This window comes from Homo sapiens, chromosome 1, assembly GCF_000001405.40.
Source record: "Homo sapiens chromosome 1, GRCh38.p14 Primary Assembly".
Classification (NCBI taxonomy): domain Eukaryota; kingdom Metazoa; phylum Chordata; class Mammalia; order Primates; family Hominidae; genus Homo; species Homo sapiens.
The window spans coordinates 90,835,579-90,849,929 of NC_000001.11; the positions used below are offsets into that span (position 1 = coordinate 90,835,579).

At 43.6% G+C, this 14,351-nt stretch overlaps 2 long non-coding RNA genes across 5 annotated transcripts in view, besides 2 other annotated features; one reads left to right on the plus strand and one right to left on the minus strand.

Moving 5' to 3' along the window:
• The window catches only part of LINC02609 (long intergenic non-protein coding RNA 2609), a 68,667-nt gene that overhangs the window by 52,595 nt on the left and 1,721 nt on the right, over positions 1-14,351 (minus strand). The window contains exon 2 of one of the 4 annotated variants that reach the window (NR_147931.1): positions 1,972-2,187. The exons of 2 other annotated variants lie outside the window; for them this stretch is intronic. This is a non-coding gene — a long non-coding RNA (long intergenic non-protein coding RNA 2609). Of the gene's footprint in view, positions 1-247; positions 584-1,971; positions 2,188-14,351 lie in introns of those variants that run through there. One more of the 4 variants, NR_147932.1, reaches the window with a different exon arrangement.
• On the plus strand, positions 85-13,894 carry LINC02788 (long intergenic non-protein coding RNA 2788). Its single transcript, NR_186594.1, has 4 exons — positions 85-341; positions 10,076-10,221; positions 12,478-12,543; positions 13,411-13,894. It is a non-coding gene; the product is annotated as a long intergenic non-protein coding RNA 2788 (long non-coding RNA).
• Positions 3,089-3,613: an enhancer, noted in NCBI's record as "OCT4-NANOG hESC enhancer chr1:91304224-91304748 (GRCh37/hg19 assembly coordinates)". NCBI's record gives its function as "activates a minimal SCP1, AML or CMV promoter by ChIP-STARR-seq in naive H9 embryonic stem cells {active_cell/tissue: H9 hESC(naive)}" and the evidence as "EXISTENCE:reporter gene assay evidence [ECO:0000049][PMID:30033119]".
• Positions 4,427-6,080: an enhancer, noted in NCBI's record as "VISTA enhancer hs612". NCBI's record gives its function as "enhancer in: forebrain[5/6]" and the evidence as "EXISTENCE:transgenic organism evidence [ECO:0001131][PMID:17130149]".

Sequence of the window (14,351 nt, forward strand, 5' to 3'; positions counted from 1 at the left end):
AACGTCCAGCAGGAGGCTGAGAGGGGCGAGCCCACGGGGCTGGCCGGGAGAGGACCCTCGAGCGCGAGCGAGTGGCCTCGAGGCAGACGAGGAGCAACCCCCAAACCCCGAGCCCCAGGCCACCGAGCGCAGGAACTGGGGAGGAGGAGCGGTTTTCGCCCCTGGGGGCGTTTAGTCAGAAATGTTAGGAGAAGGTGCCTGAGGGAGGGGCCGCCAGTCGCAGCGGAGACTCCCCGTCCCCTCTCACCTCAGGGCTTCGGCGTTGGGGTCCGGCCTACAATCTCTTCTTCTGCCCAAGCGAAATCCAGGGGAGTGACACTGGAGGCGTCTGCACCCACAGGGCAGTGACGCGGGCCTCGACTGGGGAAAAGGGCGGAAGGGCTGAGTCCCTTTCCCTATTCCACCCATTTCCCGAGTATCTACCTCAGGGTTAGCCAGCGGCCCCCCAGCGCTTAGGCCAGCCTCGAGGGCAAAAGGCAACCCCACCCAGGCCGGTGAGGCGCGTCTTCGGGCGACGCCACCATCCAGGGTCCGCGGCCGCAGGGAGAACTCGCCTCCCCGCCCCGGCACGGGCACTGTCTGCGGCCACGTGCCCCGGAGGTCGCGGCCCAACCAGCCCCGCCGACTTGTTCCGCTTTCGCCCCAGCCCCCGGCGGGGCGGGGTGGACGGCATCCAGATCGGGATCCTGAACGCCCAGCGGGGCCGGGATCGCCTCCTCTCAGATGATCAGCCAGCGTCCCAAAACCGCTGTCGCGTCCCCTTGGTGTCTGGGTTGGGGTGGGAGAAGGCAGTCCAGGAAGAAGATACTCGTCTTTGGCCAAAAGCCGATTGAGCGGAAGTGAGAGAGACCGGGATTTGATATCAACTACCCGCAAGCCCCCCCACTCCAGGCCCCCTGATTGTTATGAAATGGGCCGGCAGGGTGCCCACTAGAAATCTAAATTACCCTTCCTCACTGGTGCCTGGAGTAGTCCTTTGGCCGCGCAGTAAACTAATGTTGCTTGCTTTCTCCTCCACCTTCCCTCATCAGTGTTTTCTCCAGATCTTACATAATGCTTAACCCAGTTGTTCTGACCTAAAATTAAAACATATCCCTTAACAGTGTTCCCAGACAAGGGTAACTATAGAAATTCTGCCTGGAAATAATGCCCTTTAGACTGAGGCTGTTACCTATACAAGTTGCTTTCCTGCTACTTCCTTCTGGAACAAGATGAAAATCCCCCAATAGAAGCCTGAAGTGACGGAAACTATTACTTCTATGCTGTTTAGTGCGAGGGAGAACAATAACAACAACAACAAAAATACTTCAACCCCCCCCCCCCAATTTTAAATTTTCTGATAACTTTGAACACCTTGGCATTTTAAAGATCCAGGTGGCATTTTATCGATAAGAGTTGTAATTGATACGAAATTTTACAAGTTCATTTCACCTTAACTGTCAATTGAGTTTATTTTCCTTAACCAAACAAGCCATTTCCTTAAGGTCATTTAAAACTGAATTTCTTTCCAGCACGCACCATATAGTTTGCTCATCCCTGTCTTGTTAAGGGACACCTAAAAAACAAATACTATTACATATGTGTGCATATTACAATCATGAGGCAGTATTTCAAATTAGCACTTTATTCAACTAAGGTGAGAGGGGTTTTGTTTTCATAAAATTGATTAACAAAATATGTTCTTACATATAGATAGCTTTTCTGAGATTAAGTACATTTTCAGTGAAATAAGCACGGACTGACTGAGGCTGCCTGGTGGCAGTAAGATTGTGGAGGAAAAGAGACAGTATTGTCAATGTATGTAATTTTCACCCTGAACACGGTGTGTTTGTTTTTTAATTTTCAATCCTCGTCCTACATTTGCCAAGACATCCACCTCTGCAATGGAGGGGCGTATATACAGGGTCTGTGGTTTTGAAACAGCACACAACTCTGTGCTGCAAATGGCTCTGATCTAAGGTTTAGGAATACCTGGGGCCTGGGGCGCTCCCTTGGTTGTTTGCAGTTCTGTAGTTCAGAGCCTCAGCCAACATGAGCCCCATAGACGAGCTCCGCAGGTGTCTTACACTCCAGTGTGGACAGCAACATTCCTGGCAGAGACTTGTGGGTTAGACAGTACCCCCTGGCATAGCACAAGAGCACGGAGTATGAAACAGTCCCAACTGTAGTAGTGACAGCCTCATCCTCCTGGACAAGAGAAGGAGCAAACGTCACAGATTTACCTCTTCTACATAAAACCAGTTGGTGAGGTTTTTACTTCTTTTCACTTTATGAAAACAATTAACATAGAAATTCAATACAAAACGTGTATCAAATTTAAAGACACAGAAATCACGAAACTCAATTTTTTAAATTAAGTACATATCACATTTCACATACAACACATGCCAGAATTTCCTTGTGGCAAGCGAATTCACTGAAGACCTGCAGTGCATCACATCACAATGTGGAAAACACAGATGTGACTTTCTTTCAGTCTAATTGCATACTACAGGAAATGTGGTTTCAGGTCAGTGTGACCTACTTGTAAATCTAGACTTATATGTCCATACCTGCCTATGTGCAACCCAGCCTATAAGATTCTGTTTCTAGGCTGGGCGTGGTGGCTCACGCCTGTAATCCCAGCACTTTGGGAGGCCGAGGCAGGTGGATCACCTGAGGTTAGGAGTTCGAGACCAGCCTGGTCAACATGGTGAAACCCCGTCTCTGCTAAAAATACAAAATAAGCCAAGCGTGGTGGTGCATGCCTGTAATCCCAGCTACTCGGGAGGCTAAGGCAGGAGAATCGCTTGAACCCGAGAGGCAGAGGTTTCAGTGAGCTGAGATCGTGCCATTGCACTCCAACCTGGGCAACAAGAGTGAAACTCCATCTCAAAAAAAAAAAAAAAATATATATATATATATATATATATAAAGGAATATATATATATATATAAAGGAATATATATATATAAAGGAATATATATATATATATGTATATAGTGTTTCTAAAATTAAGAAAAAAAAAGTATTTCCTTAGTTATGCATTTTTTTTCTCACCATGGGCTTTGGGTGAGCTGTTTTTCTACTGTCCTAAAAGTTTTTCCCAAGTCTCTCTAGGGCCAGGAAATTAACACAAATTTGATCTGAGATGCTAATGGAAACTTTCTGCTTGGGACCTGCCTACAGACCACCTTTCCCACATTGAAACTAACACACTTCTGCTACACACTCCTGCTATAATAAGAGCAGTAGGCATTTGGGTAGAGCAAAGAATTCTGTGGAATAAGGGTGGGAGCAGTGGGGATGAGGGGATGGGGAGATCATCAATACATAACATATACATAACAAGAGACAACAGGAAAGAATGCAGAACCAGAGTCTGTTCCCAATGTTTAAAGAGAACCTCCCCCAACTCCTTCTCAAGTCCTGACCATAGGGAGCAGGTCCTCATAGCTCACACCTATTTTCTGGAGAGCACAAAGGCTGAGGGCATCATTCAGATTCTGGTGACCTGCAACCAATACAATATTTGTGGAATGGGAAGTTCTGTCCTAACCCTGGAAACAAAATAGAATTGTAGTCTCCTAAGCAGGCAGTCACTGCCTCCAAACCTCTGCGCCCAGAATCTTGAAGGAGAAGCTTCCAAATTTCGCCAAGATGGCTCAGCACGCCCGTAATCCCAGCACTTTGGGAGGCTGAGGTGGGCAGATCACTTGAGATCAGGAGTTTGAGACCAGCCTGACCAACATGGCGAAACCCGGTCTCTATTAAAAATACAAAATTAGCCCAGTGTTGTGGCAGGCACCTGTAATCCCAGCTGTTCGGGAGGCTGAGGCATGAGAATCACTTGAACCCGGGAGGTGGAGGTTGCAGTGAGCCGAGATCATGCCACTGCACTCCAGCCTGGGTGAGAGAGCGAAACCCTGTCAACAACAACAAAAAAAAAAACAGATGGCTCAGCAAACTGAAAGTGGCTGCATCTGAGAAAAAGGAATCTTGGCACTGAGAGTGGGTGTGTGGGAGGAGGAGGGATAGTGGTCAGGGCCTGATTGTATCTGCAGACTGTTACCTATACAGGTGGGATTCGATGACTAAGAACATTTCCTAGGGTTTCTCCAGTGAGTTTTGGCTATCTCTTGAGGCCCCTTTCCCTAGGTTTTGGAATTTCACGTAAAGCTGGGAACTTTGCCCCACCCTCCAACATCTTTTTCTATGGGAAAAGAAATCTCTGGCTAGGGGAAGTTAACCTTTATTTTAAAGTATGTGAACAATCCCCATCTCCTTGAAAGTCCTGAAGAGAAATTCAGCAGAGTGGCATTTTCCTGCTTTCTGAACACATCACCTACCAATTTACCCAGGGTGCTGCAGTGGAGGCGGCCAAATAGCACCTGAGATAAGAGAAAGGAAATACAATCCTACAAAGTTGAACAAACAAGTATTATTCCAGCCTCTCTCTCCTTCCCTATCCTGCCCCTCTCCGACTCCAAGAATAAGTCACCAGAGTCCCCTAGAAGATTCTTGAGTTTCTGCTCTTAAACGGCTCCTTTTCCAAGGAGGAACGAGGTCTGTTTTCTGATGTTGGGGCCTCAGATACTCTGTGATTGCAACTTAATTTTGTCGTTGCTTCTTTTCAAGATTATTTGGAATGAATTGTTTCTTTTGTTTACTATCCAACAAACGACCTCTGCTAATCTTGTATTTTATCTCCCTAACATATGGAAAAGCTATTTATTCTAGCCAATCACAATAAAGTGAAGAAAACCCCATTTTATGGAAAGGTATATATCACTAGTCTGTTGATCATTAAAGATATGATTACCAGTGAAAACCCTCTGAAGGTGGCACATTTATGCTTCCAGGAACAGATGGGGACACGCATTTTCCTTGCAAATACTTTTGAAATTGCTCTACTGGTAGCAGTATAAAAATGATATACAGATGCCAGGGCCGGCATGGCCAGGATGAGTGCGCCAGATTTACACAGTAAAGCCTTCACACGCGGGCTGTCAGTTTTGATTGATCTCTACTATACCTCAGGAACTTGTTGACTAGGTAGGGAAACAGTGCAAATAATTCACTGCAGCAAGTCAGATAATTCACACAACCAATCGGTCTGCTTCACTTTCTGGCTGTGACATACGAGCCTTCCCTACAAAGATGCATCATTTTCCAGCTTGAGCAATATTCAATGTCAGGGAAGAAAAGGTATTAAAGCCACACAAAAGGAGTTCGACTATCGCAGAACGAGAAGTTATTTTGGTAATGGGGGACAGATCCCGCTCTACTCCAAGTCCCACCAGAGCTTTCAGACCCAATTGTCATTATCATATTGATTAAAAAAAAGTTCGTCATAGTGCAATTTTAGGTTTAACGCCAACAGATCGGGAAAGAGCAAAGAATTATCCCACAAAAGCACAACATTCTTACCACAGGGACGTTTCCCTGTTCCAGTTCATTGATGGAGTTGATTAAGTTTAAATGAAGCAGACACTGGATAAAAGTAAGGGTATTGACCACTGGGCACCGAGATCCGTGCTTGAAAGGACCTGATACATGCAGAAAAGCAAGATTTGCTAAATGCTCTAATCTTCAATCAAATCTTACATCAATACAGACAAAGTTTGGTAATGAGAGATTCAATGAAGCATGCGGGAGAAAGAATTAATCCTCTTGGTCTAAACTGGCTTCAACTTTGAAGCTTGCTCCGAAGGAAAGACAGTTATCTAAATGCTAAATAAGAAACTTATTGTACTTTTCATGGCATGCTAATCTTTTGTCTATTTCATCTCTATTATGTGTATGCTCATAGATTGCAGTTGTCATGGTGATGATATCTAGCCATGCTCGGGGGATGGTGGTGAGAAGCCGGCGCGGAGGTGGAAAAGACCCCCACGCAATCCACAGTACAAAAAAAAAAGAAAGAGAGAGAGAGAGAGAGGGGAGAGGAGTGGGCGGGGACCGGACCCCTCCTGAGCTCTTCCCGCCAGGCCCAGGCTCCGCTCACGTCAGAGTACTAAGGAGGACTGGGCCTCCTGCCCTTGGAACCGCGTGGTGAGGCGACCTCAGCGAGGCGAGCAGCATTCGGTAGTGGTAGTGGAGAGGGAGTCGGGCATCCGTCCCACCTCAAATCCGTTTCCCCATAAAGGTTTCCAGCTTTTAGTCCGTAGGCTCCTCCCTCCCCATGGCGTCCCCTTCCCCCCACAGCGCTGCTGGGTAGAAAGGACTGTTGGAGAGGGGACCGAGAGAAGAAAGGGCTCGAACCCTTAACTTGTGGACAGGTTATGCCTGGCTGTGTCGGGGGCGGGAAGGTGAATCTTCTGATCCTGACTGCCAGAGGGGCATGAATACCGAGAAGAGTGGCCTACGCAGCCCTGGCAGGAGGTGGAAGCTATAGGGTCACCCAGGGCCTTGGCGACCAAAGGTGACCCTGGGCCCTTTATGTGTTTTACAAAAGTTGCCAAATTAAGACAGGATTATAACTGCTCGAGTCCTTGTCAGGGCTGAAAGGTTGGGAGCCTCAAATATGCCCCGGCAGTGTTGATGAAAAGCTTAAAAAGTAATAAAAGGGAGAAAAGAGCGAGGAAAGTAACATGTAAAACTCTTATTAAAGAGAAGAGCCACAGAGAGGTTGTGAACTTGAATCACTGTTTGAACTTTAATTTGTTCATTAACAGGATTTGCCCCTTACTGTGAATGTTATTACTTCCCTTTGCCACTCAGCAACAACTCTGGGCATAATAAAAGAGCCTGGCAAAAAGTTAAACGCCTGGTAATTAATTCATTTAATTGAAAAAAGGGGGAAGAGAGAAAGAGAGGTCCCAATGCAAAAGCAGAAGGCAGAGAGGTTGGAGGAGGGGGCAAGGCTGAAATCTCCATGGAGGCCCTCTCCAAGGCCCACCACCTGTAGGCAAGAGGAGGCTTGGTCTCTGATGAGGTCTCTTTAGCAAAATTAATGCCAGCAGACCCTGAAGACCCTCTTCCCAATGGCATCTGCCGCTGGTCCAAATCCCCTGGCCAGGCTTTCAGCCAGGGGCTAGTTTGGATGATCTGTTAGGGTGGCACGGATACCAGAAATCCAAAAGCAATAGATATTCATAAACTCTTTCATTAAAAAGTGAAGAGATGTCTTTTGCTTTCTCCTCTCCCTTCCCTTCGATCAGGTTTCTTATACAGTCTTCTCTTTCTAGGCTGGAGTGAAAAGGACTGCCAGTAGCCTGATATAATCTGCATGTTTGCATCTTAATCAGCCTTATAACATCATGCTTTCTTTCCTTCCCCCCTCCCAGCAGATGATTTAAATAAACTCAGGAGACAAGAAATGAAATGAACACTCCTTGCTCCTCCTGCTCGAAGCACTGGGACTAAGCCAGCTGGCTTTGCCTCTAACCTTGCAGGGCCTACCTTTTTCTTAGTCACTTATCTTCTTTCTGTGTTTGTCAACCACTGCACACAATCTTCTTTCATGTACATCTTTCTTCCAAGGGAAGCAATGCACTATTCAGGCACCCCAGAGCTATTGGCACAATGTTGCCCTTGCAGCCCAATAAGAGAACAGCAAAGTTCAGGAAATCAGAGGTAGGTTGGTTATCAGTTCCTATTTAATATGTTTAAGGCTTACCACAGTTAGGATTTCCTAACGTTTTAAAAACCAGTGTTCATATACATAATCAGTGTGATTTTCCTTAGAAACAGAATTATCTACCATGTATTCTCCCATTACAAAACTACTAAAGACAGAAAAAAAAGAGAAAGGTAGAAAATGTGAGACATTATAAATTAATTCCTAGTATCCAAAACTATTTCCTAGGTTTGTTTTTTAATTAAATCACTTCTAAACCCCAGGAGAGAACAGAATTTCACTATTATCAAATAAATAAAATCATCAACATTACTATTTTGCTGGCAGCATCCTCGCCCTTTGCCCCAACCCCTCTTGGTGTTACAATCCTAACTGCAAACTCCATACAACGATAAATGATCTGTACTTATGTCTTCCTGAAAACCAGTGGTTGGAACACACTTGATCTGTATTAATAATAGGAAGGGGGAAGGGGCTTTTAAAAGGGGCTATTTTATAAGTTGAAGCAAATTATAGGGCTTATTTAGCATCAGAATTACTTCTCACCTTGTACTGTCCCTGAATGCTGAGTGATCTCTCTTTTCCAAAGTTGTGGGTCTATCCTAGTTTTATTGTAGACAATCAATACTAAATATTAGGAATCTACAAACAAAACAAACAAAAAAGCTCCCCCCTACTCCACACTGCTGAGCCCTAAATTGCTTTTATGAAAATAACTTTAAAAAGACATTGGCCAGGTCTACTAACCCTTCCACCATCCTCATCTAGACCCTGATCACTTTACACATAAAGGAGTGAGTTTCTTCCTTCCTCAAATACAGCTTTCAGAGTGCCTTAAGATTAACTATCCTAAACCCCTACTTTGCCTTGGTAGTTCTGATTGCCTATAACAGCCCCAGCTTCTTTTTTTTTTTTTTTTTTTTTTTTTCTGAGACGGAGTTTCCCTCTTGTTTTCCAGACTGGAGTGCAATGGCACAATCTCGGCTCACCACAACCTCCACCTCCCAGGTTCAAGCAATTCTCCTGCCTCAGCCTCCCGAGTAGCTGGGATTACAGGCATGCACCACCACACCCGGCTAATTTTGTATTTTCTCCATGTTGAGGTTTCTCCATGTTGAGGCTGGTCTTGAACTCCTGACCTCAGGTGATCTGCCCATCTCAGCCTCCCAAAGTGCTAGGATTACAGGCGTGAGCCACCGCTCCCGGCCAGCCCCAGCTTCTTAAATTGGCTTTCAAGCCTCCTTCCTACCCTCCCCATAGGCATTAATTAGCTGTTCCTGGTTTGTTTTCCACTACTAGCCTACACAAGGCCAGACAGCTCTTCAGGCAGACAGCTCTCTCTTTGTCCGCTGAAAACATCATGTGAATTGTCTTTATTTTACTGAAGATGCCAGGCACCATGTTAGGCATTACAAATATTATCTTATTTAATCCCTTCCATTTAAGAGATGGGTATAATTATACCCATTTTAAGGCTGTAGAAGGCTAAAGAAGTTAAGGTACTTGTCCAACTAAGGTCTCACAGCAGCACTAGGATTCTTACATCTGGCTCAAAAGCTGGTATACTTTCCACTCCAGCATACTCTCCCCCCTGCTATGCATGTGCTGTGTGTTCTGATTCCTCCTTCCTCTTGTCATCTGGATGATTTCTCAATTTCACTCCATATATCTGACTCCTGTCCAGTCTGCAAATCCGGAGAGAAACTCCCACCTCTGTCTTGAAACCTTTCAACCATCATCCTAGTCCTTGGCAGACTGCTGAATTTGTCATCTGCAGCACTCATTTGGTGCTCCCATTTTCTGCCTTGTATTGTCAGCTTTATTTTTATTCAGTCCCTTCCAACCAAACTGAAAGCTCCTTGAAGATGGGAATTTGCCTTATATTTATTTATATTCCTCCCTGACTCCCCAGAGCCTAATATTACAACTCCCGTTTGTCATACACTCACCTCATGCACACTAATCCTTAGAAGTGAGCACTGTTATTACTGCCATTTCGCAGATAAAGAAACTGAGACTCAGAGAGATGAAGAAATTTGCCCAAGCCACTAAGCTGGTGAGCAGATCTGATGTTCAAACACATACTGCCTGAATCAAATGCCCCTTTTCCTTTGTGACTGTATTGTCCTGGCTCACATACATGGTCCCTCACACAATGTGAACTTATGAAGCATTCCTGTATGGAGGATACTCAACAAGCCTCCAGAAAACATCCCTCTAACATGACTTCAGAGAAGGGGCATTGTTTTTACTCTTCATGAGGTGAAATCCGGCAACTCAACAGAAGAAAGGATGAGTATATACCCACCTGAGGACACCCACATCCACTTCCCCCTCCTCTCTAGGAGCCATGCCTCATGTTGGTGGGAGCCAATGATGCTGTCTATATCTGTACAGGGGTTTCTGTGAGGTAGAGAGGCAAACTGCCCTTCCCCCTTAATCCTCTGTACCTTTTAAATACACAGAGGAAAGAAGGAGAAAATTAAACTGTTAATTTCTTTTAATGGTCTGCAGGGTCCAGAGAGGTGGGGTCCTGCTGTGTCTGCAAAAGAAATGAATTGCTGCTGTGGGAAGAATAACAACTGTTTTTAGAAAATGTTCATAGCTGACCGATTAAGCCAATCTGTAGAACTCAAGTCAGCTTCTTCTTCTCCTTTAAGGTATGAACATGGCAATGGGGATTAATGAAATCTCTAAGAAAAGAAGGACCATTGGGAGTACAATAATCAAGGCCTAGGAGTCTGGTCAATTTTCTCCACAAAGAAAGTTTGTCCTTTCAGTGCCACTGCTGCAGAATTGAGCTTGATAGTATAAAGGGGGCTATCTTAAGGTTACTTTATACACAACAGGTCTTCAGGAAGTGTAAAAACAAAATCTCTTGCAATGGCAACAGGGTACTTCCTATGAATCTGAAAAAGGAGTAATGACTATACTATCCATTTGTCTCTGGTATCCACGCTAAAACTATTCTATTCTCCCAAGTTCCCACAGGTGGGTTTCTAGCTTTCTTTATATTTTGGTTCATATATTTGGACAACTCCAGGGCTATAAGCATTACCTTCACCTATAAAACCTGCATTGTAGCACACAAAATCCTGCGCATGCACAGCAAGTGTTTCATTTACTTCATCTCAGATAAGGCACAAACTACCCTGCAAAGTAGACTAGTAGATATTACAATTATATACATTTTGCCTATGAGGAAAACTAAAATTTGCCTCAAGAAACATAATTGGGACATGATAAACCTAGTTCCCACTCCCAGTCCAGGACTCTTTCTACCACTTCTCAATTCTCATGGCAGTCCTCTACCTTTTCTGTACTCTGGATCCACATGTGAATTTTGGAATCTAAAGACAGGAACCTCTCTCTTTAAAAGAGATGGACTTCAAATTATACTCACCAGGCTTCTATTACAACTACCTGGACCATACTGAGAACTACCCTCTCCCCACTCCTGAAGCTACAAACACTATACACAAAATTTAATATTTAGACTCAAATTTTAAAATATTTGCACGAACTCTTAAATCTATAGAAGCTGAGCAGTCATGGCTGGGTGCGGTGGTTCATGCCTGTGATCCCAGCACTTTGGGAGGCTGAGACGGGAGTATCACTTGAGCTCAGGAGTTCAAGATCAGCCTGGGCAACATGGCAAAACCCTGTCTCTACCAAAAATACAAAAAATTAGCCAGGCGTGGTGGCACACAGCTGAGGTCCCAGCTACCTGGGGAGCCAAGGTAGGAGGATGACTTGAGTCTGGGAGGCGGAGGTTGCAGTGAGCTGAGATCATGCCACTGCAGCACTTCCCGCCTGGGTGACAGAGTGAGACCCTATCTCAAAACAACAACAACAACAACAACAACAACAAGATGGGTAGTCATGATGGTTAGGCTCCCCATTTAAAAAGGAAGGCTAAAATCACTGTTACTTGTTTTTCCACAAGTACTATTTATGGATAGTTTGCCAGATAACTGATACTCCCTTCAGATAACTGATACTCCCTTGTACCCCTAATTTTATTTTTTTCTTTTTTTTAGGTGGAGTCTCACTCTGTCACCCAGGGTGAAGTGCAGTGGGACGATCTGGGCTCACTGCAACCTCCACATCCTGGGTGCAAGTGATTCTCCTGCCTCAGCCTCCCGAGTAGCTGAGATCACAGACGTGTGTCACCATGCCCAGCTAATTTTTGTACTTTTAGTAGAGACGGGGTTTTACCATGTTGGCCAGGCTGGTCTCAAACTCCCGACTTTAGGTGATCCACCTGCCTCGGCCTCCCAGAGTGCTGGGATTACAGGCATGAACCACCACTCCTGGCATCTAACATACATTTTAAGAGTCATTCTGTCTACCTAATGGACAAGCAGTCCGGTGTCTTTCCCCAGAAAAGATCTAGAATTGGGTCTGTCCACCTTGTTCACTGACCTTTTTAATTAGGTGTGTAATCTTGGTATCCAGGGCCCAGCAGGTTTTCCCTTCCCCAATGTCTGGACAATACCCAAGTTCATCAAAGCAGAAACAGGACTCAGTTCCAGACCTTATACCTGGCTGAAAGAATGATATTCTTTTTGTCTCAGCTCAATCTTGGTTAATCTCCATATGCAATCTAACTCTGGAGTGAAAGAGAGGAATGACTCTACTTGTTGCTTTGGGACGACTGCCCTATTTCTTTGTCTGCTGGCTGACCTTCCCTATGTAAGAGCATCAGCATTTGCAACATTGGGTTTAAGCAGGAAAGCTCTTTCATCTTTGTCCATTGGCCTTGATCTCTCCTGATCAGTATGGTCTGGATTCTTGCTAATCACTAATGATCCCTTGGCCCTCTATATAATACTAAAGGTATTAGACTTGAACTGTTAGGAAAATTCCTACTCAGCTAATTACATTCTTTCTGCTTTTCTTGGTTTTCTGTATAGTCTCAGCTGGAGTTGAATTTGAATTATTTCCTCAAATTTTAAATTGCTGGTTTTTGGAAAGCAATGGTAAGTTGTTCCCTCAGATGAATACAACTAATTATAATTAAAAAGCCCCATGACTAACCTCTTTCTCCCCCATCCCACTCTTTTCCTTGGATGACTTTCCATACCATCTCCCACATTCTGGCCTTGAATATTATAATAAGAGCTTAGTTCACTGGGCTAGGAGTTTCATGATTCTGTATTTTGTAAAGCAGGTTGAATATTATTCACTTAAAACAATATGGTGGTTCCACTACACATATGCTTTTCAGTCTGTATTTATGATCAACTACTAAAAATGACAAGTGTTTGACCTCACAGGTTAGGCCTCACCCATAGGCTAGGAGAAGGGGAAGTTTTTTGTAATAGTCAAAGCCTTGCTCACCAAATAGAATACAAGTTATGTTTGATTTCTTAAATGAGTATGATTCTTTAATATTTCAAGGAATGTGGAATGCCAATCCTGTGGAATTATATAGGGCAACCCTAATTTTAGCCACGACATCTTGAATGTTTCCCACCCAATTCCATATTCTAGAACTTAGCTTTTTAAATCATACCAAAATTGTGCACTCAAAAAATTTAGAATCAACCAACCAAACTCTTGACAATATAACTTTTTGAAGTAATGTCTTTATCATGCATACCAATGCACTATACATGTATATGATTGTTAAGTTAGTAATTCATTGACAATCAAAGAGAATGTGTAGCACTTTTCTTAAGGCTGTCCTTTAGCAGCTACTCTTATTCCAGTGGTGCTGCCATATGTTAGTATGATGACTTTATAACTAGTTAAAAAGTCATTGAGGGAAGTCATCTAATTTTCTTTCAGCTTGTTTTGACCCCAAATTATATTATCCTGACTTGACCACCCACCTTATTCTTCAGAGCACTGAAGGATGCTAAAGGAAGATGGCTTGCCACCTCCAAGGCTCTTAAACCAGATGTGCTGTGGGTTCTGAAAGCAGTGCCCAACAAAGAGCTCCAGAAACGTTTTGAGCAATGGCAGCAATGGAAGCACCTACACAATAAGTGACAGCCTTCCAAGATGACTTGATAGATGAGAACACACTAAAATGTTTGTGTAAGTTCTGGTGTAGTTGTTAACATGCAGACATTAGTTAGACCTTGGTTATACCGTTTCAGCCCTCCAGCTGAGAGTTAGGGACAAAATTATTCCTAACATATTGTACTTCAAAAAATGGTACATCCTTTAGGTGCATCTTGCAGATTTCACACAAAATGTTTTAATATTTAGGATCTAGATATTGTTTTGAATGATTTCAAGCATTATCCAAGAAAGATGAAAACTATAACTGAGATAAACATATTGAGTATGTTTTTATATTTTTATTAAACCAATTAATTTTAACCAGGTGTATGTATGACTACTTGGGATGCATTTTGTTTACTTAATTGTAGACAATTCTGACTTAAGATTGGGGGGAAAAAAGGTACTGTATGTGGTCTTGATTTTAACTAGAAATATAGTGCTTTCAACTCAAATGAAACCAGCCCGTCCAGTATACCAAATAAGGAGCAAGACCTTTTAAGGATTATTTTGCTTTCTAAAGTAATTAAAAGAATATCCCCTTCAATCATGTATGCCCTTTAAACTTTGCTTAATGAGTTTTAAAGGAGAAAAAAAAAAAAACATGGTACTGTGTGGTACTGTGAATACGGCACAATCTGGAGAAAACTTTCTGATTCCTAATTTATTTTTTTCCCTTGACTTTCTACTTAAAGGTAATCAACACAATTTTCCATTTGTATCAAAGAAAGGCCACAGTTTTTAACTCTTTCATAATAATGTTCCTTGAGTTTCTTGG